This window comes from Homo sapiens, chromosome 1, assembly GCF_000001405.40.
Source record: "Homo sapiens chromosome 1, GRCh38.p14 Primary Assembly".
In the NCBI taxonomy this organism is placed as follows: domain Eukaryota; kingdom Metazoa; phylum Chordata; class Mammalia; order Primates; family Hominidae; genus Homo; species Homo sapiens.
Window position 1 is genome coordinate 58,425,337 of NC_000001.11, and position 25,637 is coordinate 58,450,973.

General features: G+C 43.5%; 1 protein-coding gene and 1 long non-coding RNA gene across 5 annotated transcripts in view; both read right to left on the bottom strand.

Annotated features, from left to right (window-relative positions):
• DAB1 (DAB adaptor protein 1) overlaps nucleotides 1–25,637 on the bottom strand; it is a 1,551,949-nt gene that overhangs the window by 1,430,559 nt on the left and 95,753 nt on the right. The gene's annotated exons all lie outside the window — the stretch shown is intronic.
• LOC107984960 (uncharacterized) lies at nucleotides 8,094–25,220 on the bottom strand. 4 transcript variants are annotated; one of them, XR_001738074.2, is made up of 3 exons: nucleotides 17,877–25,220; nucleotides 13,915–14,038; nucleotides 8,094–13,383 (listed from the first exon to the last, which is right to left on the bottom strand). It is a non-coding gene; the product is annotated as an uncharacterized LOC107984960 (long non-coding RNA). The 4 variants fall into 4 exon arrangements; XR_001738075.2 differs by having other exon boundaries at nucleotides 8,094–13,042; nucleotides 13,272–13,383; nucleotides 13,915–25,220; XR_001738076.2 differs by having other exon boundaries at nucleotides 8,094–13,042; nucleotides 13,915–25,220.

The window sequence follows — 25,637 nt, forward strand, 5'->3', positions numbered from 1 at the left end:
CACATCCCTAATTCTAGCTGTCACAGGGTCCAGCTGTTTCCCTGCCCGTTCCTAGGCTAGCTTTGTGTGCCAGTGCCTTCTCTTAGTATTTGCCTAAGCTAGCCCATGTTGGCATTCTGCCGTAGAGTTTTATGGGGTCTGAATTTCAGAAGAGCATCAGTGTTAGATGCAGATCTGAGAGACGTCAGCAGAGAAACAGTAACTAGAGCCTTTAGGGCAAAGAACTTGCCAAGGACAAATATAGGATGAAATACAGGACAAGCATAGGATGAAAAGAGAAGGAGCCAGGGACAGAATCAGAATAATCCTTAGTATTTTAAGGATAAGCAGAAAAGAAAACTACTATGGAGAGTGAGAAGGAGTTTTAAAAAGTGAAAGAAGAATCAACAGAGTATCATCATTGAAATAAAGGAAAGAAAACCTTCTCAAAGGCCTGGTCAACACAGTCAAACATGGCAGAGTTCAACACTGAAAAGAATCCATTAGATTTAATCAAGCAGATTGGCAGGGGAGAAGCCTTCTGGCCCCAACCCTGAGGATGAGTGGGAGGCGAGAAATAAGAGACACAAAGTGCGGGGTACAGAAGAATAGTCTGGGTGGTGGAAGGTAGGGTTAGGACAGATCTTTAAAACAATGATTGTCTGTGTGCTGAAGGAATGGAAGAAGGGGAGAGCCCTTACAGGGAGTGGAAAGGGTCCAAAGTACAGGAGTGGAACTTAAAGTTTGCAAGGCACTTTGCCACATCTTTGCTTTTTCCCTTAATACCCTTGGGAGTTTGCTCCTGGAGAGATTATTATTATTCCATTTTGCAGTGATAAAACTGAGGCCTAGAAAAGTTAAGTGGCATACCTAGGGCCCCATGGTAAAATGGTGGGCCTTGGACTCAGACAGTTTCTTGATCTCATGCCCAGGGCTCTGTCTACCATACCACATGCTTCTTACTGCTCAGGGTAGTGTTGGCCTCCACCCTGGATTTAGACAGGGGACTTCAGGAAACAGGAAGAAAGAGAGTTAACCCATATTGAGGACACCTGCCATGAATTTGACACTATGCTGAAGACTGAGAGTCATTCAGCAGATATTTATTAAGTACCTACTACATACCAGGTGTAGGAACCAGGTATTGGCTCATGCAATTTTGGAGCTTGACAAATTCCAGGATCTGCAGTCAACAAGCTGGAGATCCAGGGGAGCCAATGGCGTGGTTCTAGGCTGATGGCCAGTTTGTTCACAATCCAGAAAGGGCTACTGTTTCAATTCAAGTCCAAAGGCAGGAAAAAAGGCAGGAAACCAAAGAAATGAACCCCTGCCCTTGTGGAGATTACATTCTACCAGAGAGAGACAGAGAAACAGACACCTTCTTGTATTCCTGCAGTGAGCACACTTGTATTGAATGCATATTATCTTCCAGACTCTATTTAGGGCCTAAAGATCTGACAGTGAACATAATTCAAAATAAAATTAAAAAATAAATGAGTAAAATCTATACTCTATTACATGGTGATAAGTGCTATGGAAAAAAATTAAGTCAGGGAGGAATCAGGACTGCTGGAGTGGGAGGATTGCAATTTTTAAAAGGGTTGCTAGGAAAGGCCTCACTGCAAAGAAAAGGTTTGAGCAAGACATTGAAAGAGGTGAGGGCATATTCACCTTTTGGATATTTCTGGGAAGAGGAACAGCAAGTGCAAAGGCTCTGAATTGAGCACGTGCCAGGAGCGGTCAAGAAGCTAGAGGGAGACCAGTGTACATGGAGTGTGGTGGAGTAGGGTGGAGTAGAGTGCAGTGAGGAAGGTACTGTGGATTGGAGGCAGGCAGGGGTGTGGTTAGGGTTATGCAAGTAAGGTGGTGTGGGGTAGAGAAGATCTGAATGAGATGAGAAGAGATGCAGTAGAGTGAGGAGGGGAAAGGTGGGGTACCTAAGACCAAGGTAGTGGGGTCTGTCAGAGTTGGATAGAACCTTAAGGCCCTCTAGACATACTAAGGACTTTTATTTTTTCTCCGAATGAGATAGGAAGGCCTTGACAGTGTTGATCTTAAGAGTTTTATGATATGGCTTTATTTGAACAGCACCACCAAGGCTGTTTACTGAGAAGACTGTAGGGAGAAAGAGTGGAGTCGAGGGGAACAGTTAGGAGATTATGGACTTAATTCAGGTGAGAGGTGCTGAAAGCTTAGTTCAGGGTGGCAGCAGTGCAGCTGGTTAAAAGTGATTCGACTGTTCATATATTTTGAAAACAGAGCCAGCAGTATCTGCTGGATTTTGGGTGTGAAAAGAAAAGGAGAGCCAAGGATAGTTCCAAGATTCTGGTCCAAGCAACTGGAAAGATGCAGTTGCCACTGAATAAGATTGGGAGGTCTTCGGTGCCAGGAATTTGGGGATCCAGTGTTTGACTTGGTAAATATTAAGTCCGAGGTGCTTTATCTTAAAATGTTAGATAGGGAGTTGGTCATGTAAATCTAGAGTTCAGGGGAGAGGCCTGAAATAAAGATAAAAATGTAAGGGTCATCAACTCAGCCAGCGTGAAGAGGTTTACACCAGCCAAAGATGGGACAATTCATTCAATAAGAATATTAACTGCAATGGGTAGACATACACATAATACATTTGCAAATCCATGCCTTCATAATGAAACTGAAAAATATATCATTGGTCCCTTTGAGGATGCTAAAGAATAAACTCATTATTCAAAAACTGGGAAGTAAGACAAAATAATTAAGCATTTAAGCTGCCTTTCCTTTTTGAATTGCACTTCCAGGTAATCAAATAGTTGATGAGGGAAGTATTCTGATAAATTAAGAAAGAATAATAGAGTTAGATGATCACCATTTTGTTAACCCCTGATGAAATATTGATGCTAGGCAGTAATCATCAATGGCATCACAAAGCCACTAACTGGACATAGTGTGTTTCCCATCAGACACCAGCTATAAAGTACTTTTGCCAAAATACAAAAACTGGCTCCAATCAAGCCTCCAGATCTGCTCACTAATTTACAGGAAATACAGGAGACAGAGGAACATGTTTAAAGACACTAGGTGGATACAGTCAACAAAATCCAGAATGTGACAAACTCCTAACACAAACAACCCTGTTTCTTCAACAAATAAATTGCAATAAAATAAAACAAAGGTATCCATACATTTAGAGACCAAAGAGCTATATGTCAACTGAATGTTATATATAAACATCATTTGGATCCCAATTCAAACCATACCACTGACTAGATATTTGATAACATTGAGAAGCTATTGCCATTTTATTAGGTGTGATAATGGTATGTGATTATGTTTAATAAAAAAATCCTTATCTTTAAAAAATATATTAAAATATTTATAGTTCAAACAGTGTTATGTTTAGGATTTGCTTCTAAATACTCTATTGGAAAGAGAGGAAAGTTGATGAGAGTAGAGTGCTAGAGCATGTACATTTATAATACCATCCTTTATACTTCTGTACATGTTTGAAATTATCCATAATTTTTTAAGGTCTAGTTAAGTAGTTATTAGATAATAAATAACACAAAAAGAATATACACAAGAAATTCAAGAACAGGCAAAACTCATTGTAAAGGAGTCCCCTATGGGAGGGGTGCTGCTGACTACAAAGGGGCACAAGGGAACTTTCTGGAGTAACAGAAACGTTCAATCTTGATCTGGGTGATGGTTACATATGTTTTGTAATCGTGTAGTATAAGACCCATAAAATTATAATGTTTGCACAGTTTACTATATGTGAAATTAGACTATATGTAAAAGTATATAGTACACAATTACTATGTGCAAGGGCAGAAGGGAGGCCAGGCACACATTTATAATTCCAGCACTTTGGGGGGCCAAGGAAGGAGGATCACTTGAGGACAGGAGTTCAAGACTAACATAACAAGACTCTGTCTCTAAAAAAAATTGTTTGTAATTTTAAATGGTACGTGGTGGGGTTGGGAGAGTCACCAGGACATAAAGGGCAACAAAAGTTATAAGACTGGATGAGAACATCAAGAGAGCAGGCGGGGACAGAAAAGAGGATGGAGTATTATGTTCGAGAGCACTTCAACCTGCAGGAGTCCAGGAATTGAGGAGAAACTAGCAAAGGAGACAGAGCAGGACAGTCAGTGCAGTGGGAGGACGATCACAGTGAGATGTGCTGGAAGGCAACAGAGGAAGGCCTTTCCCTGTGTCAGAGGCTGCTGGTGGACTGTCAGATGAAGACTGAGAAGTGCTCTTGAGTACACCCTTTTGGGAACTCTCAGTACAGTAAGGGAGGCAGCCAAGAAAGGGCTTCCTGTGGAGGAAGTTTATAGATAGAGAGAGAGAAAGCAGAGAGACTGCATGGAGTAGTGGAAAGGGCCTGACCATGCTGGATGGTCCAATTTGGTGTCTTCACTTAATGAAACTATAGTCAGGGGCAAGGAACCCCACTCCCTGAGCACCGCTTGCTTTCAGTGTAAAGCAAATATAGTAATGATGACTGTCTTGGTCTATTCATGCTGCTATAACAAAACAGTGTAGATTATAAACCACAGAAATTTATTTTGCAAAGTTCTGGAGGCTGGAAAGTCCAAGATCAAGGTGCTTGCAAATTTGGTATCTGGTGAGCATCTACTTTCTTGTTCATAGGCCCCACAGGGCATCCCCCAGGTCTTGTCAATGTCACATCACATGGCAGAAAAGAGTGAGGGTCTCTCTGTGGCCTCTTATATAAGGGCACTAATCCCATTCAAGAGGGATCCACCTTCCTGATCTAATCACCTCCTAAAGGCCCCATCTCCTAATACTATCACTTCAGGGTTAGAATTTGCAGGGGGCACAAAGCCAGTGCAAATTCAACATATGAATTTGGGTGAGACACAAAGCCAGGGCACATCCAGCAATGTCCAACTTGTAGCTGGTTGTGAAGGCAAAATAAGGTAACTTATGTGAAAAGTCTAGCATAGTGCAGGGCACTGGTATAGTTACTCAATAAGCTGTCTTGACAGAGAGTGCAAACTGTGGGCCTGAGTGGAGGACTTCAATCAGAGAAGAAGTGGCATTTGATTGGGTCTGGAGGATGGGTTGCATTCAGAACTAGGAGGACTAGAGGGAAAAATTGAAATACATAATGTAAGAGATCATATCAGGTTAAAAAAGGAGGACAAGAAGAAGAACTGGAAAGGCTGATTTTTAGGAACTCTGTGGCGCCAGAAGTGCCCTGGGGCAGTGTAAAGTCAGGAGGCTCTGGGAAACCCTCTTCTCCAGAGGAGTTTGAAGAAGACTGCCAGCTACACTCAGGCTGCAGCTGTGACCTTGCTGGGCCCTGAGAGTGACAAGAACGGAGCCCATAATGATTAACCTTGCCACTTGTTTCTGTAGTTTATTGTGACAAGACAATGCAATAAGGAGGGAGGTAATCAAAAAGCAATTTTGTAGCAGAAAGCTTAAAGTGACAAACCTTGCTTTTCCTAAATAAATCACTATTATTCCCATATGGCTCAGGACTGACAACTTGGGTTTCCTTAGTAACCAAGTACTTAGCTAAACCTGTGGCTCAGTGTGAGCGAGAGCAAGCCGCATCTGGAGAGAAGAACTAGTTGCCAAGTCTTTCCCAGAGGCCCCCTCACACCTCACAGGTGAACGCAGATGCCATTAGCATTCCCGGCTTTAACATTCTCCGTTTTCACTATTCTCTGGGGATCCCTGAGGTCTATGACACATAGTAATTTGTCATTTTGCAGAATCATTAATTTGGCTTTTGAAAACCATTTGCTTTGCTAGTGACTGGATTTGGGAACTCCAACATCCAGATCTCAGCATGGCTTTTGAGGTTTACAAGGTAATGCTCATGATGTGATTCCTAAAAATGTACCAAAAATGGCTTCTCTGTGAATCATGCTCCTAAAAAAAGAAATCCAAGAGCTAATGCCAGTGATGGAAGGGAAGAAAAAGCAATGAAGACTAGGAAAGCAAAGGCACTTAAAAAGAAAAAGTTCCTATAATCCCAGCACTCTGGGAGGCCGAGGCAGATGGATCACTATGTCAAGAGATTGAGACCATCCTGGCCAACATGGTGAAACCCCATCTCTATGAAAAATACAAAAATTAGCCGGGCGTGGTGGTGGGCGCCTGTAGTCCCAGCTACTTGGGAGGCTGAGGCAGGAGAATCGCTTGAACCCGGGAGGTGGAGGTTGCAGTGAGCCGAGATCACGCCACTGCACTCCAGCCTGGGCAATAGAGCGAGACTCCATCTGGAAAAAAAAAAAAAAAAAAAAGGGAGAAGAAGAAGAAAAAGAAAAAGTTTTGTGACAAAAATATATATTTTACACAGATATTTACAAATATCTAGATTTACGAAGGTTTTTTAATATATCCTTTGCAAGTATTAAGTATCTATGCTGTTGTTTAACAGTTAGCTCCCTTCTTCTTCCCTTTTTTTTTCTTTCCTTTCTTCCTCCCTCCCTTCTTTGGACACATTTGTTGATCACCTGCCTGGTCTAAGCCATGGGCTCTGCACACAGAGGCCTGACCCCCTTGCTGGGGAGACAGATGTGAACTGATGAGATGTGAACAACTCCAGGCTGAGAACTCAGAGGAAAGCGTGACCACTTTAGGAGGATTTGACATGTGGGACTACGGGCCAGTGGCCTGAGGATGGGTGTGAAGCTGACCAGGGCTTGAACATAGATTTCTCAGAAGCTCTGGAGCGATGGGTTTGGAACAAATGTGGAAGGGCCTGGACTCCCCACTCATTGCCATGTCATGCCAAGAATGCCGTCTCCAGGCTGTCCCTACTCATCCTTGGTTCCACCGGCTCCTCCTATCTCAGGGTCTCTGCCTGGAATGCTCTCCATGCCCATCCTTTGCATGGCTGCTTTCTTGGCACCCTACAGCTCTTGGTGTGAATCTCTCTTTCTTAGGGATGGGAGGAACCCTCCCCTAGACACTCCACCTAAAGTTCCTATTATTTTTCTTAATGGCATTTAACACAAACATTTTAATTTTACATTGTTTTTGGTGTACTTGTTACATCTGCCTTCTCTCCTAGACTCTAAGTTCCTCAAAATCAAAGAAAAAAAATTTTTTTGACTCATGATTGTATCCCCAGCACCTGACACAATGTCTCCTGACACATGGCTGATTCCTCACAAATACTGGTTGAATGAATGAATAAATGAGTCAAGACACAAATTAGAGGTTACCTCTTCCACCAGGCCTACCCGCCAAGTCTGGAGCAGGGTCTCTTTGTGTGTTTCTGTAGTGCCTGTACTTATCTGGTCATAGAACTTATTAATAATACAAAATGGGAAGTATTTACTTGCCTGCTGTCACTCCTCCCCCTGCCCCAACCAAGAGCTCCCTAAAGACCAGGACCACCTCGCTCTCTCCCAATCAGAGTCTGGCACAAATGCATCCCAAACTGACACTTTGCCCCAATAATAGGAGTGTTTTCCTGGAGGTAGGAGGAGTCTGGGCACTTTCTGTGAGCTCTAAATCATCCCTCCCCACTCATGGACAGAGGAGCCTACATGAACTGGGCTTCTTTCAGGGCTCCATGGCTGGAGTTCCTGCTCTGCGAGCCCTCCCCCCAGCCCCCTTCACGTGACGACATCAGGGAAGAGGGCTGGCCCCTCCTGCTGGCTGCCAGCTTTGCCTCAGCATCCTGTCTGCCTCCCAGGCATTCCTCTTTGCAAGCCGACTCATACAGTACCCGGAGGCGAGTGCCTGTGCTCCCATGTGTGGATAATGAGGTTGTAGGCTGTGTGAGAAAGCAGAGCTTGAGCAGCCAAGAGGGGCCTCCCACACCCCCCCTATTTCGTTCTCACCCAGGGCACCAGCCAGACTGTAGGGCTTCTCTCATGAAGGTGGCAGGATTGCACATTTGGTGGGTACTTTACACAGGCAGTCTTAACTATCCCTCTTAACAAAAAGCCCTATGAGTAAATAGTAGGGAGGGTAAGAGGGTCAGAAGTGTGGGAAAGAGGAAGGTGGATAGGTTGTGATTCTAAATAATGTGGTCAGGGTAAGTCTCACTGAGAGGATGACATTTGAGAAGAGATTTCAAGAAGTGGGGGGTGTCTTAGTTCATTTTGTGCTGCTATAACAGAATACCACAGACTGAGAAATTTATAATGAACAGGAATTTATTTGGCTCATGGTTCTGGAGCAGGGAAGTCCGAGAAGATGACACCAGCTTCTGGCAAGAGACTTTGTGCTGCGACATCCCATGGTAGAAGGCTGAAGGGCAAGAGAGTCCATGCATAAGAGAGAGAGAGAGAGAGAGAGAGAGAGAGTGTGTGTGTGTGTGTGTGTGTGTTTGTGTGTGTGTGTGCTTGTCTGTGTCTGTGTGGAGGGGGGGAGGCGGGGGAGAGAGAGAGAGAGAGAAAGAGAAAAGGCTGAACTGATTTTTTAAATCAGGAACCCATTCACACAATAACCCATTCCTGAAAGAATAGTATTAACTCATTTATGAGGGCAGAGCACTCATGACCTAATCACCTCTTAACGGTCCAACCTCTCCACATTGTTGTATTGGGTATAAATTTTTTAGCACATAAACTTTGGGGGACACATTCAAACCATAGCAGGGAGTTAACCACATGAATATTTGGAGGAAGAATATTCTAGCAGAAGGGAGAGGCAATGCAAAAGCTCCCAGGTGGGAGCTTCTTGGAGTTCTTGAAAAACAGCAAGGAGGCCAATGAGGTAGAAGTAGAGTATGGGCAAGTATAAAGAGAGGTGACATCAAAAAGAGAAATATAAGGACACAGATCATGTAGGCTACTGAAGAACTTTGGCTTTGATTGAGTGAAATGGGGTCCATGGTTGGGTTTTGATCAGAAAAGTGACATTATCTGACTTGGATTTCTAAAGGATCACTCTTACTACTGTGTTGAGAACAGACGTTAAGGGGCAAGGAAAGGCAGAATTAGCATAAGAGGCTATTGAAATAATCCAAGCAAGAATAGCAAGGATGATGCCTGAGACTACAGTAATAGTAGAGATGGTGAGAAGTAGTAGCTCTGTGAATACAGTAGTAGCTCTCTGGATATAAACAGTAGAGCCAACAGGATTTCCTGAGGGCGTGGATGTAGGACATGAGAAAAAGAAAAAAAAAAAAAGGATGATTTCATGTCAGAACAGCAGAGAAGTAGAAAGGATGAAGTTGCTTCCTAGAGATGGAGGAGGCTGCAGATGGAGCTGATTTAGGAAGAAGGAAAATGGAGGATTCCTTTTTGACTTGTTGAGTTAAGGATATCTATGAGTCTTGGGTTTAAGAAAGAGATCTGAGTGGGAGACATAAATTTGGGATTTATCACCATATAGATGGCATTTAATGCCATTAGAATGGATACGTCACCAATACAGTGTGTGTAACGTTATAGGTGGAGAAAAGAACCAAAGTCCAGCCTGGTACACTGCAACATTAAGATGTTGCTTTGACACCCCAAAGATATGAGTCACATTTAGAAAATTAAACAAAGTGCATCCCCTGCATGTCCCAGCTCACTCACTTCCTTCTCAAACTTCCTGAAAAATAACCTAATTTCACAGTCTCCACAGTCTCCCCACCCAGCAGTCAAGCTTCAGCTCCAACCATTTTACCAAAGCTTCTTCCTCCAAAACCATCAAAGACTTCCAGTGAAGGAGCCTTAGTATCATTTGACATTGTTCCCTGAGCACTCCTATGTTCTCAAAACTCTCATTTCCAGAATGTAGGAAATAGCAGATGCCCTCAAGGACTTGCATCTTTGAGAGTCAGGCCTTGTGGATTGCATTACTTGGGACCCCTTTACTGGTTGACTTCAGATTGGGTTCATCCAATGGGAGATTGGTGGGCAGGAGGAGAGCAGTCAGGGTATTTTTTCTCTGCTTTTGTCTATTTCCCCATATCTAGCAATGGCTGCATCCTCCTCCCTCAGGATTCTGAACTCTGGTAGAACTTTTTTTCTGTTCAGATTCTAGCCTTTCTGTCTCTGTCTCTATGACTGGCTTATCTTTCTCCTGTATACTCAATTGCTGATGTTCCATTCTCACCAATTTTCTTTTCTTTCCTTACTCTATATGCTTTCCATGACCTTGTTTTTCCCCCATGGTCGTAGCTACCACTCATATCTTATGCATTATAGCTGTTTCCCACATTTTAACAGAGAAGCGGTAACCCATGTGTTCAGGCACTCATCAGACACCTCCACTGGACGTCCCACAGACACCCCCAAGGATGATTTCATGTTCACCAGTAAACTGAGCTTCTGCCTCCACAAAGCTCCTCCTCTTCCCCAGGGCCTGTTTCCTTTGCTCTGTCATCCCCTCGTCCTGGAATTCCCTCCTGCCTAGCCCCCTTCTCATCTACTTTCCTCCTCCCTGTCAGGCTTCTCCTAAAAGAGGAAGATAGTCCTTTTTTCTGTCACTATTACTGTGTTTTTGCTGCCTCCAGCCTTGTGCCCTGTCACTGGGTGGAGAGTCTCTGTTATTTATGCCTCAGGCTTAACTCAGTTAAACTGTTCCATAATTTATAAGACAGCTAACCTTAGCACGTCTGAGTTATTGAACAAATATCGGAGATAATTTAGATTTGATTGCTGATGAGCAGAGAAACCACAGTCTGTAGTCTGGAAAGGGCCACCATGGAGTAGAGGATCAGATGGCTGCTGCTTCAGCTTCTCAGACTAGTCATGATCTTTCCTCCTGGCATAGAAGCCATCCCCAGCACCAGCCTGTTTAACTGAGGTCCTCACAGTTTGCCCAGCCTCACCTACTCTGTGGTGAAAAACACAGAAACTTTAAAATACAACTGGCCAAGATTTGAAGCCAGATCTTTATCTTGGCTCTGTGATCGCAGGCAAGTCACTTCATTTCTCTGAATGTGTAGAAGGAGGCTAGTAATATCTGCCCAGCCTCCTTCATTGAGGAAATGAAGTGGAGTGGCATGGAGTGCCAAGAATTTTTTAAGCATTATCTAATATAATTCTTACACTCAATTATTAGCTAGTTGTACCTAGAATACATCCATTGGAGCTTTGGAGGAGAGTGAAGAGAGATAAGGAAATATCCCCTATCCTACAGGATTCTATACAGGTATGTGGGAATGGGGAGCTTTCTCCAACAGAGCAGCCAACTTCACCCAAGATTCCCAGTTGGAACAACCAGAAGTTCTGGTCACCATATTCTTAGTGCATTGAATCTCTTAGCTCTTCAGTATCATTCCCCACCTCTCACTCCATGCCATGGAGATGAAGTTGGCTCCTTCTTAATGGTCTCCCCTTGGCAAATGAATCACACTAATATCAGAGATTACAAAAACAAGTCGTTAACACCAACTCCTTTTGGGTAAAGGTTCAGAAGCTCAAAAAAGTAGAAATACTAGGAAGATAAGAAAGAAAATAAACAATTAAGAACGTTTGTATCCAACTGCTCAATGTAGTCAAAAGCTACTCCTCTAATATGGGACTCTAAAATTACTTCTTGGTTGTAGAGTATTTAAATAAAGAAGTGCAGTGTCAGCGATGTTTGCACTTCCCATTTGGGTGAATGGTATTGCTACCCCCACATACCCTAGTCAGACCAGAGGAAGCCTTTGAACCACTTCTTCTCCTTCATCCCCACACTCAAGCAGTCACCAGTTCCTTTCCATTTGTCACCTAAACATTCTCTCTGTCCCAGCACCTCTGGCCACATGTTTTCTCTTGGTCTCTGGGACCTCGACAACAGCCCAGTCTCTGGGCCTGCAGCCACCCTCTGTGTAGATTTCAGACCTATCTTTCTAAAACACAAGTGAGATCAGTTTTCTTCCCTATTCAGAGCCTCTCTTATCTCATTACCACCTCAGAGAATAGTTGTCAAATGTGAATGTGCCTAAGAGCCGCCTGGAGAGCTGGTTAATGATTCAGATTCTCAGGCCTCACCTCGGAGAGTCTGAATCTCTGGGTCTTGGGAGAGGCCTGGGAACCTGCATTTTTGACAAGTATCCTGCCCCCAGTGGGTATTCTGATACATACAATCTAAAGACTACATTTTAAGAAAAACTGCAAAAGAATGAACAGAGGAAGGGAGAGAAGAAAAGGAGGGAGAAAGCCGGGCAGGAGGACTCAGTTCCAATCCATCAGAACAACACGGAAGAGCCTCACCATCTGGTACTGCCTGTGCCACTTTCAACATGCCATCTCTAACCATGCTGCGGAATATAGTGTCCCTTCACCATCCCCCACCCTCTGTACCCGGTTTTGTTCTTCTCCAGAGCACATATCACCACCTGAGACATTTGTGATTATTAACATGCTTGCTTTCTGTCTTCCCCCATTCCAGTATAAGCTCTAATGCAAGCAAGAACTTAGATTTTACTTTCATATCCTCTACTACCTAGAACAGTGGCTGACACCTAGTAGAAAATATCTGTAAGTATTTGTGGGGGATATAGCATTAAAAAAGATACAAATGTTGTGGGCCTGCCGCACCCTAACACATCCTTTGAGGAGTAGCACTGCCCTTCCAGGTCATGTGACACTGAGGGCCCTCTCAGTGGCAGTGCTGAGCAGGGTGAGCACATGACCACGGCCCAGCCATTCACAGTAGCCCATCTCCACGTCCTAGGTGGAGACAGTTCTGTGGGTGGGTATTTGACTCATGCAGGGGGATCACACCTTTCCAGCAGCTGTGAGGTGTGGACCTGGAGATGCCAGTGACCATGTTCCCTCCATATGTGCAGTATTAGCAGAGGAGGTCAAGCAAACCTCAGAGATGAGGAGAGAGAAAGAATCTGACTGTGTGGAGACCCTGTCCTCTCCCTGAGGCCCCGGTGGCTGCAATCCGTCTGTCCTTCCATTCTGAGTCGCACTCACACCCTTTCCAGCTACCCAAGACATTCCACTCTTTTCGTTCCAGCTAGTTTGAGTTTTCTGTCATTTGCATATGACAGAATTCTGCCTAATACATGGGGACTAATTACATACATAATTACTTACAATTTGCTATGAAGTCGCAGGCAGGAAAATGTAGGTTGCATTGAGAACAAATAATAGATGGGCCTAATCAAGTCTTGAGGGTCAGACTGCTTCTCTGGGGAAATGGCATTTAGCTGTGATGGAAAGGATGAGAGAAGTTAGCCATATGAAATGGGCTAGAGAGGGTTCCGGGCAGTTGTGCAGCAGGTACGAAGGGCCTCAGGTAGGAAGCAGACAGCTGGGAGCATTCAGTGAACTAAAAGAAGGCCAGCATGCTGGGCACTATTTGTTTCCTCGACTCCGCCCCTGCCCTCACGTTCTGGGATCCCTCCTGCTTATGTTTGCTGCTAGCAGCTCACTTACTCCTGTGACCTTCAGAGGCTTGCCCGGGGCCCTGGAGACACCACACGTGTACAGAGAGCCAGCAGTGTCTGGACATTCACATGCTCCTCAGGTGTCCAGTGCCAGTGTCTGGCTAGTGTGAAAGAACACAGGACAAAGTCTGGGATGTTAGTTCTACACCAGAGCTTCCTGCTGGATTAAGTTGAGTCTGAAACTCCACCTAAATCACCCTCTAACTTGGCTTCTTCCTGTTCTTTCTCCTGCTTCTGTCGCTTTCACCTGAGAATACTTGGAGCAGAAACCACTTGCGTCTGAATCCATGGCTTCGAGTCCAGTTTGGAAGAACTGGACCTAAGACAGTCACTATGGGCGAGGCAGTGTGACGTAGGGAGGGTGGCATGAGGTGGGACTGCGAGGGGGTGGGGGCCAGGGCCTGGGAGCTAATGGGTTCTGTATAGGATTCAGGTCTATATCCCAAGCAGCAGAGATATCGTTCCCCACCCACCCACCCACCCAACGTCATAGCCTCACCAAACTTTTCAATATTTCTCAAACTGTCCTTTCACTACCCAGTTATCATCTTGGGCCCAGGATATTTCCTTTGTCTGGAAAGCTCTCTCCCACCTTCTCTATTCAGTTAACTGATGTATCCCACATAACTCACTTCAAGTATCACCTCCTCCAGGAAGCCTTTCATGACTTCCACTGGTCACCACCCCCAGGGCTGGGCTGAATACTGCTTCTCTGTACTCCTCAGTACCTTCTTCTTGGTTTCATTGTTCATCTCCCTTCAGTAAAGAAACATTTATTGGAGGAACATGCTCAAGCTCTTTATTATAGAAGGGGTATATAATCAAAAAAGTTTAGTGACCTGAACCCTAGATTCTGAGCTTTTTGAGAACAGAGATTGTCTTAGTCCACTCTTTATTACTTTAAGTGTTATTCAGTGCCTGGTAAAAACCAGCAATTGCCTACTTGCTTACTCTGTGCGAGACCACTGGCCCCAGCATTTTACATGCTATTTATTTATGCAATCCTGTGAGGAAAGTAGGTATCATGCCCATTTTACAAGTAAGACAAATGAGGCACAGAGAGACTGAATAATTTGTCCAGGACCACACAGCTAGTAAGTGACAGAGAAAGATTCAAACTCAGGCAATGTTGACTCCAGAATGTGGATTCTTAAACAATATGTTGAGGCCCGTCTGTATAAAGCATTCAAAAGAGCTGGGGGTGATTAGACCATCACTATCATTAGAAGATCTGTATTTTCAGCCTCATTAACCCACTTTTCATCTCCTGCCTACTTTTTCTCATATTTTGTAACAGTCCTTGGAAGCTTCTGCCAGTCCAGCATGACTTCACATGGAGCAGTTACTGTGATGAGATTCCTGCTTATCTCTACGTGGTCACCTGGGAGATCCTTGTCTTCCTGACAAGATTTTAGGGAGGACTAGACACCTTGATGAAATTGTGGAACCCCCGCAAGAGACCTATCCAACCATATTTGCAAATCCTGTCTGCAGTAGGAGTGGGAGGAGAAGAGAATTGCCTGGGAAGATTTCCAAGATGCTTCCAATTGAAATCTGAAGGCCATGAGACAGACTTTCATGCCGGGCTTCACCCTCTGCCTGCCTCTGCAGCTTACGCACTGCTTGGATTTGTGTAGTCATTTATTCAGCACTCACCAGAACCTACTATGTGCTGGGCATTGGGCTAGATGCTGAGCTTACAGAGATGCCTAGCTCATAGCTTAAAGGAACAGTTCAACGAGCAGGAGGGCCATATTAATACCCTGAAGCAAATGCTGTGGCTGAGGTCGCAGGAGCACAAGAGGAGGGACCCTTGACCCAGACTGGGAGTACTGAGGATAACCTCCTGGCCAAGGCAAAAATGGAAGGAACTTTGAAAGTGAATTTGTGTTTGGATCTTGACATTTTCCTTACAACTACAGGTCTTCGGGAGAAGTATTTAACCTCTCTGAGCTTGGATGGTCTTATTTGTATAATGGTAGTAATAGTATGTACAGTATGGACTTAATGAGATAATGAAATAAGTGTTTATCAGACACATAGCTAATATTTGTTGAATTCTCACTAAGTGGCAGGCATTGTTCTTTGCATTTTAGGCCATTTAGCCGTAACAACTCTGTGATATAAGAACTATTATTATCATAGTTTTATAGCTGAGAGAGCTGAGGCACTGTCTGATCTTGGACTAACCAACCAGAGACAGATCCTGAGACAAGATCTCAAGTGGAAATAATTTCTGGAGAGGTGCAAAGAGCATGGGTAACATCAAGAAAAGGGAAGCCAGCCAATAACCGCATGATTAAGTCAGCTACTACAGTGGGTAACTAGTGCTTAATCTTTCAGGGAAACTGTGAAAAACAGTGCAAAACACGTGCCTTGGAACTATCCCAGTCAAGAGGCAAGGGAGTTGGGGCATTTATACCCTCATTATCTGTCGGTCGTTGGTTCAAAGCTGCCCCCAGAAGACTGGGCCTGCACATTGACAAAGAGCACATTGACAAAGTGGGTTCTGGAAGCCCAAGCACAGCCCTGCAACAAAGATGCAGGTGCTGGCCATAGAAAGTGGGGCTGGATCAGAGGCAAGTACTGAAGGGATCTGAAGGGATAGATGCCACGAACTCAGAATGTCTGCTCTAAATCCCAGAGGTTAAGAACTTGCCCTCCGACCAACAGCTAGTAAGTGACAGAACTGGGATTTAAACCCAGGCAGCCTGGCTCCAGAGCCCACTCAATAAATCCACACTGTCTGCCTCTCTCAGTGCCGGCTACATACAGTGTAGCTCTTGAGGTTGTCATTGTTATCATGACTATTGTTTTCTTATTCTACCTCTAGAGATCAAACCCAAGGTCGAGTAATCAAGTCATTGTTCTACCTTGTGTTGTGTTGGGAAGAGTGATTTTGGGAATTGGGGCTCTTTAGTTCAAGTCCTAACTCTGCCCTGCCTAGCTAGACAGATTGTTTTTCCTTTCTGGCTCTGATTTCCTCAGTTATAAAAGAGGTGTCAGATTCGATGATCCCTAAGGAAGTTTCTGTGTCTGACATTTCTCTCATATGGTTTTCCTACCAGCGTGCAAGATGTCCTCCTGGTAGGACCTGGTCAGTGGGTGTCTCTGGCTTGACCGTCTCCACCCTTTTAGACGGCCAGCTTCTGATTAAGCAGGACTGACGTTAATTTATGTACTTACGAAATCCTCCTCACTGGGAACAAGAGGAAATTAAATTGCTCACTGAGTCGGTAACAGATGGTTGGCTCCATCTTCTTTCTGACTGGGACCCCCCCAGAGAGAGTAATTGAGGGCATCCTGTCACACGAAAGAGACCGAGGGGGCGAGGGAGACTGAGGGATGGTTGGGAGGCCTCTCTCCAGCACATCACTCATTCTGATGTCTCCCCATTTCTCAGTGAAGGAGAAAATCAAATAACACCCGGAAGGAAGTAAGCGGTTTGTAAATAGGGCACACTGGGGTGCCTCCAGCTTTTTCATTCTGCTTTATTTATTGTGTGCGTGTGTGTGCATGTATGTGTGTGCGTGAATGTGCATGCATGTGCACGTATGTGTGCATGAATGCACATGTGAACCCTCAAACCCAAGTTGGAGGTTTCCCAAGCATCCAACTCAGGAAACTCAACTTGGTCAGTTTCAAGGGAACCCCTGAATGGACCTGGAGGCTGACTGAGCCCTGCTCATTCATGCACATGCTGGCCCCGCTCCAAAACCTCCAGAATGCTAGTTTTAACCAGATGACACAAGATTTCTTATTATTGTTCAGCTGAGGGAGAGAGCAGTGAGAGATTGAAATCTACATCAACTCTGCAAACACACATCCACACGTAAAACTCCACTGTGCCTCCTGAAACCTTCTTATTCTTTCGCTAGGTATCCCTTCAGGCCTCTTAGCCAAATGCCCAGTAGAATGTTAGGACCTCCCTTTGATGTCAAATTCCAAAAAGACTTTTTTTGAGGAGATGTCAAAAAAGTGTAATTTGGAACATCAAAAACCAATAAGCTCAGAAAAACCTGAGTTTAAATCCTTGCTCTGTCACTGACAAGCTGTGTGTCCTTGGGCAAGTCACTTATCCTCTCTGACCTCTCTTTTGAATTTTAAAATGGGAATATGGGCCTGGCATTGTGACTCCCTTCTGATATCACAGCACTTTGGGAGGCTGAGGCAGGAGGATCACTTTAGCCCAGGAGGTTGAGGCTGCAGTAAGCTGTGTTCATGCCATTGCACTCCAGCCTGGGCAAGAGAGTGAGACTCTGTCTCAGAAATAAATAAAATAAGATAAAAAGGGAATATAGACATCTTATTTTGAGGATTCTAGGAGACAGTATATGTAAGGCAGCCAACAGAAAGCTTAGAAAACTGTAGATGTTTAATAAATGTTTTTTCTAAGAACCTCAGAAGCCAATTTTGAAGAAATCTTTGAAGTCACTTCTAGATTTACCAATCACTGGATTACAGACTGACAAGGCAGAATGTAGGTGCATCCAGCCCCTGCCACTTCCTGTTCCTCCTTAGTGACAAACGGTGGACCAGCTCTCCCATCACCTACACTCCTCAACACATACTCACACATGCTTTTCCCTCATACCATGGGTCCAGCAGATAATTTGTGCTTCTTCCAGTCCACAACTTGGTTTGAGTTGGACAATGCCAGCCTCTCACAGTACAGGAGGCTTCCAATAATAACATCTCCTAAATAGTTAATGTAACAAAAGTGTTAAAGCTTTAAACATAGGAAAAAATATCACCTATAATTACACTGCCCTAATATCAAATCTTTATTCCATTAGCAAACAAACTTTTACATCATCGCCAAGGCTTTTTGTTCACTTAAGATTTGGTAGTCTTTGGACTAGACCCTGGAATAGACAAAGAGCATTAGTGGAAAAACTGGCAAAATCCAAATAAAGTCTGGATTTTAGTTAATAGTAATGTACCAATGTTAATTCCATGGTTTTGACAAGTGCACCATTGTAATGTAAGATATTAACCTTGCGGAAAGTCAGGCAAAGGGTAGGTGAGAACTCTCTGTACTATTTTTGCAATCTTTCTGCAAATCTAGATATTCTTAAAATTAAAAGGTCACTTTATAAAGAGCAAAGTATAAAATAGTGTATGTTGTATGTAATACTTGTATAAATAAATAAGCAATCATGTTTACTCTTCTAAACAGAAACTAATACTCAACACATTGTTTAAACATAGTAATTACAGTTCCCATTTTTGTTGCTAAATAATAGTTCATCCTAAAATATCAAATTTCTATTTTTTCTAACTCTGCCACTACCTACTAACAGTAAAAATTTACTTCACCTTTTTTGCTTCTATTTCCACATCTGTAAAATGAAGGTTATAATAATGTCCCACTCAGATGCTTTTGTGAAGATTAAATGAGATAATGCAGTACCTAGTGAATAGTAATTGCTGACTTGTTGTTATTACTCTCATTCTCCTGTCTTGGTTCTTATTCAAACTCCAGTATTAAGCCCCATGTGATGCTGAAGAAATTGCTCAGCATCTCTGGAATTCGGCTCTCCACATGTTAATCAAAATTGTCTTTTGAGCAACATATGAGGAACCTTGGTATGCACTGTCATACTATGCTAGAGAACAAGTAAAGCAGGAGAAATAAAAACAGCCAACCTTAGGGCTTACTATGTGCCAAACTGTTACAAGAGTCTTAAAAGCATTACTCATATAATCCTCACATCAACGGTATAAGGTAGGAATTCTCCCTTATAGAGATAAGAAAACTAAGGCTCAGAGATGTTAAGCAACTTGCCTAGGGGCACACAGCCTTTCATGTCAGAGCTGGACTTGAACTAGGTGGCCTGACTCCGGATTTGGTGCTCTTAACCCTGCTGAGCAGAGACAGTTATGATCTGTTAGCACCCCAACCCTCACAGCAGCTGAGGAGTGTGTCCCAGCCAGCAAAAATGATATGGGAGAGGCACCATCAGCATTTACTGCAAGGAAGATGAAAAATTGCACCCTGATTCTTGCATGTTTCTGCCCCGAAGTGATGCACATCTCTTGCACTCACATTTCATTGGTCAAAACAAATCACCTGGTCATGCCTGAGATCAAAGGTTCTGGGCACAGAAAGAAGAAAACTATAAATACTGATGAGTAGCACTAATGTTAGATGAGCATTATTAATGGAAAGGGGCTTTCTTAGAAGGCTAGAAGCCCTTTGTTTATACTGAAATTGCAGTTCATCAAATAATGAGTGTTACTATATTAATAATATGATGTATCTTATGTATACATTATATATAAGCATATGATATATACATACTATATAAAATGGCAATAATAATTGTTGCTGGTTGTGTTTTTAGCAATTTTAACAAATAATCTTCTACCTCAAATATATATCAGCTCCACTACTTGCTAATTGTATGATTTTCTAGCTTGACCAACCATCCCAGGTTCCCTGGGGCTAAGGGATTGCCCACGATGTGGGACTTTTGGTCCTGGGCAAACAATGACAATTGGTCACCCTACCTTGGCAAGCCTCCTAACCTCTCTAAGCCCCATTTTTTACATTTGTCAGATGGAAGATAACCAAATCTACTTTTTGTGGTGATTAAATGTATATGTAAACACATGGCACAATTTCTAGTGCATGGTAAATTCATTAAATTCTGACTATATTAGTAGCAGTAGTATAAAGTTCCCAATAATTGGATGAAATAAAAATCAATATTCCCACCTTACGGAGGAAGACATTAAAACCCCAGAAGATCATGAGACTCGCCTGAGTACACAAGCCCACTGCAAGCCTGCTCTTTGGTTCTGCAGAGGCCAGGCACTGCCCTCTGTCCCCACCCTGCCTAGCAGCAGGAAGCTGCTTCTTGGGCTGAGGCCTTCTCTGGCCTGGAGGAAGTGCTGTCTTGAAGCATCTCAATGGCTCCCCTCCATGATTTACACCTCCCATGTGAACTTACGCAGGTGCTTCTGTTCTTGGATCTGTGAAAAACGCTTCTTGCTGGAGGATTTAGAAACCTGGATGTGTGGCGAGAGATGTGCTCTGAAAACCCTCTTCTGGAGAAATAGGGGCTTTCCTTCAAGGAGTGACAAACTACAGTTTCCCTAAAGGAATACTCATCCCTTGTGCTTAGGAAGCGTGTGATATCTGGTAAAGGCTTTCTATAGGAATCACTCCACTTGTTATTCCCAAAAAACATAAGAGAAAGGAGACTTCATCACCTCCACTCCCCAGAGACAGAAAGTCAGGCTCAGGGAGCTGAAGCAACCCCAGAGAACAGGTCTCCGGCCTGGCAGAGTTCTCTCTGCCATAATAAGATTTTCAGATGGCACTCCAGGAGTCATGGTCTATTAGGGTAAGCAACCATTCTGATTTGCCCAGGACTGTCTTTGTTTTAGAACTGAAAGTCACCCATCACAGGACATCCCCGGTCCCGGACAACCAGCATGGCTTCCCTGGTTACCCCTAACCATCTATTTTATACCATTATTTAAATTTACATATATCTTACGCTCCTCATTGTAGACTCACCACAGTAATAAAAAAGAAATTAATTGGGAAATTGATTTCGTCTTGTGCACTAGATTATAAGCTTCAGGCAGGCATTGGCCAAATCTGTGTTCGTTGCTCCCAGCCCATTACGTTACACAAAGGAGTCTCTCAATATATCTTTCTCTAATAAATGAATGAATAAATAAATTTCTCAGTAAATATTAGATAAGAGTACCTAGTAACCACCCTTGCTCACATCAGCATTTCCTAAAATATCTTCCTTCCAGAAGCTGTTAATATTCATTTTTTAAAATAAGGGTTTCCTTGGTGAAATGAACACCAGAACACTGGGTTAGACAAAGCCAGTTGATTTATTTATAATGCAGGGACCTTCCTATTTACTGAGCAAAGTACAGTCAAAAGGGCTGGGGGTGGGGTGGTGGACAAGTAAGTGCATGCTGTTCTCCAAGAACAGTAATTTAACCATGAACCTTTTAGCAAAGGGCATTTGAGAGACTTGTGCTCTGCCAAATATCTTCTGAGAAATGCTGGACTAGATAACTAACCATGTGTACTCTCTGCTGTCAACTCCATTTCCTTTGAGCCTGTAATTTTTATTATTGTTACTAATGCCATCCATCCTTGTTGTTCCATGTCAGTGGATAAGAGAGAACTAAGGATAAGCTCTGCCCCTCTCCCTGTAAACTCTAACTCTCCAAACTCTCATACTTTCTCCCTCCAAGGCAAACTAATGTGTCACAAAAATAAATTACCATGGTGTGCTGGCTTGTTTCCGAAATACTCCTGAGGGATGACAAGCTGTTCCAGTTTATTCCTCCCCAAACCCTCATATCACCTTCCATTCATGATCCTCATGGTCCCTACTGAACAGTGGAAGGAAACTCTTTGGACATCCTATTAGGATGGTGTTGGTGGCAAAATTGCTTTTATCTTACTAGCTGAGAGCTGAGTGCTCAGTGGCCAGGTGGCCAGATTCCTCCATGGCTCAGCAACCTCCCTGGCCATTATTCACAAGTAATGACTAATCAGTCACCTAGAGCCTGTAGAGGAAGAAAAATCAAAGAAAGGGTTTGCTTGACTGTCATGAATGCTGAAAGAATAGTAGCAAGGGGTGGCGGGAATTGCACCGGCTCCTGAGGGGATGAAATAATGGCGCATTTCAAAGTACATTTAAAGTTGTTTTGAAACACATCAGCCAATGACTGGGTACAAAGTCATCTGTCAACATGAAAAAAAGGAGAGAGTTGATCAACTTTCAGTCTCAGAAAGGACACAAAGATAAACTTTCCTGCTATGTACCAGTTTTTTTTCCTATTGATATTCATGTATTAATTTTTATTCTTTAACAAATATTTAAGAACCAATTACATGTTGGGCACCATTCTAGCTACAAGAGACACAGTGGTCAGCAAAAGAAACACTGCCAGCCTTCCCAGAGCTTATAGATTAGTGAGGGAGAGGGTGAATAACCAGATAAACAAACGCTCGTCAGTGCTATGAAAGAAAAGAAGGAACGATACACAGTGCTAATGGCAAATGTATGACAGAACAATGTGAGCTCGGATGAACAATCAGGGAAGACTTTCTTGAGGAGGTGACATTTGGACTGAGATCTAAAAGATGAGCAGAGAGTCTCTTATTTGAACATGGTAAGATAGGTATTCTAATGCCGTATATCAGAATAGTTTTGCCTGTGAGTAGCATTAACTCAACTAAAAATGACTTAAACAAAAAAAAAAAAAAAGTCTTATGCAATAAGAAGACTGGAGGAGGCAGAGTTTCAGGGTTGATTAAGCGGCTTAACAGTGTTATCCAGAACCAGGTTTTCTCATTAATCTACCTTGCCATTCCCCCGGGGGAATGGCATGTCCTTTTGGTCTGCCACATGCAGCCTCATGCAATGGCTAACACAGCCCAGGCATCACATAAGATAACAACATTCTGGGGCAGAAAAGTATGTGTTTCTTTCCCTGAGGCTCCTTTTTCTTTTGCAGAAATGCTTTCCCTGTGTCTCCCAGCAAACATACCCCTCATGCCTCATTGGCCAGAATTTCAACACATGCACATACTTAAAGCAGTTGTTGGCAAAATAAAGGAATTACTTTGATTGGCTTAGATCAAGATTAACCCACTGGGGGCTTCAACCTCCTCCCCAGAAGTTTGTGATTACTTGATATCTATATAAACATAGGGTTTTGTTAGGTAGATAGATAGATAAGATAGGTAGATAACAGAAAGTAGATAACAGAAATTTTGCCTGTGGTCAATTTTACAATAAGAAAACTGAGATCAAAGAGTTGCACAACTTGCCTCACACAATTTTGAATTGGAGCACAGATGAATCTGACCCCAGTTTGTGCTTTTCTCTTTATACTGAAGCATGCAGTGAAGACTGGACCAGATCCACAGGGAACTGATTCTGTGTTCCAAGATGGGGGGCTGGCCCTGGTGTTGAGTTTGCAGGTGAAGGAGCTCCAATTATAGGAGGAAACAAAAGGCTAGGAGCAGCAAGAGCCCAACACATTTTCAAGGGAGAAATTTAGGGACAGGGGACACAAGCACAAGAGATGACTATAACTAGGGATCCCATTAATGTCTCAGAAATAAGGGGAAAATCCCAGCTACTGGAATTGAGGCTCTGGCAGGCAGACTAAGTGACTGAGTAAAACGCTTGCATCCCTTCCCTGTCTCACCACTGGACTGCACAGCTGCCTTGGCTGTGAGTACAGCAGGGCTAAAGAATGTGGGAGTAGGGCGGATTATGAGAACAGTTCAAAGGTGGTCCATCCACGTTTATAGAGTAGAGAAAGAAATAGAATCCAACAAAAGAAAGTGGAAGAAATAATCATTGAGGTAGAAAAAATGGAAATAGCGTAGAAGGCAAAACAAAATTTTCATAGGAAAGGGATGGTGAAACCAAGGTCTGGCATAGAATATGAGTGGAATACACTTGGATACATCCACGCGTGCATGAATGAATAAATGGCTGAATGAATTGGCCAAGCACAGGGGAAGGGCCAGAGAGGCTGTAGGACCTGCACGTATCGCGGGAATGAATCTTAGCCCCCAGGGGTTGGAATCGAGGAGAAAAGAGACAGATGGAATGCTCTTGAGGATAACTGGTCAATCTCAGGACTTGGGTCCTCTTGGACTTGAACACGGGGTGGGAGCCAGGTTACTCTGACCCTTTTTCAGACGCAGCTGCAAAGTCAGGCTCTGCTGCTTTTTCTGCCCTTCATAGATGATGTGCATGTCCTCTGACAAACTGGCCAGGGTCCTTGAAACAAAGCCTACACTACTGCAAATAATAGAAAACCAAGCAGATGGAACTTCCCAGGATGGGTGAGAATAGGATAGGAGAGACCAACCACCAAATGTAAATTTTCTAAACTCAGGGATGACCTTGGAGGAGTCCTCGTGCTCCACTCTAGGATTGTGTTCAGTCATACCCCTGTCCTGAAATCTCAGGGAGGCCTAGGTTGGAGGTAAGACACCACTTCTTCAAACGTGCCCCCTTGATTTCCTAATCCAGTGCCTCAGTGCATGCTGTCCTCTCAAAGTGAAATGCTTGCCTACCCCACGTTGACTTGTCCCCAAAGGAGACAACTTCCTGAAGCCAGGCGGCTGTTTCCTTACAGATCCCCTCATTTAAGGCAGTTGGGGCTTCCATATATCATAGCAGTCATTCCACTGTATTTACATCTAATAATTCATCTGTTTTCTTTGTAGCCCAAGAATTTTTTGAGATAGTAACAATATTTCATGTCTGTATCTGTAGTGACTAGCATAACACCTGATTATGTGGTCAAATCAGGGGTATTCATTGACATATGTATGATTTTATAAGCAGGTATATAATAATGCATAAAAGAATGAGGGATATGTGAATGAGTGAATGGGAGTACGTGACATAATTGGAGAATAAAAAATAAATGAGGGGTTTCTGGTTCCAATCAAGATGGTATATGCACCCTTCACTCTGTCTTGCTCCTACTAAAAGCAACTGAAAACCCTGCAAATAAATCATAGAGCAGCTATCTAAGGACTCTGAAAAGCAAATGATAGTGGGTGAATCTGCCAAGGAAACAACTTCAAGTAAGAGCAAACTGTTGGTGAATTTCCTGTTGATTTTTCCTCCAGGATTCCCCCATCGTGTCCTTGACTCAAAGGTGACCTGAAATCTAGAACCATGCACTGGGTGAAAATAGAAGCCCTAAGAAAAATCTTCTAATCCTGGTCTGAGGAGTGGCTTCCCACTCCGGGAGGTGGAGCTCAATTTCTTTCCCCCCAATGTGTGGGCTGGATTTAGTGACTCGCTTCCAAAAAACAGAATACGGAAAGGAAAAATCGAACAGTTGGCTCACGTCTGTAATCCCAGCACTTTGGGAGGCCGAGGCGGGCGGATCACAAGGTCAGGTGATCGAGACCATCCTGGCTAACACAGTGAAACCCCATCTCTACTAAAAACACAAAAAATTAGCCGGGCGTGGTGGCAGGCACCTGTAGTCCCAGCTACTCGGGAGGTTGAGGCAGGAGAATGGCGTGAACCCGGGAGGCGGAGATTGCAGTGAGCTGAGATCGCGCCACTGCACTCCAGCCTGGGTGACAGAGCGAGACTCCGTCTCAAAAAATAAAATAAAATAAAATAAAACAGTAACTTGACAGAGAGAAATGTGGCAGACAAGTCTGTAACCAAGAGATCAAGGTTAAAGTCAGCAGTTATGTTGGTATCAGGTATTCCCTGAGATGATACAATGAGAAGGGCACTACACCTGTGCAACCCTAGTCTATCATAAGAAAGTGTCAGACAACCCAAATTGAGGGAGATTTTACAAAATACCTGAC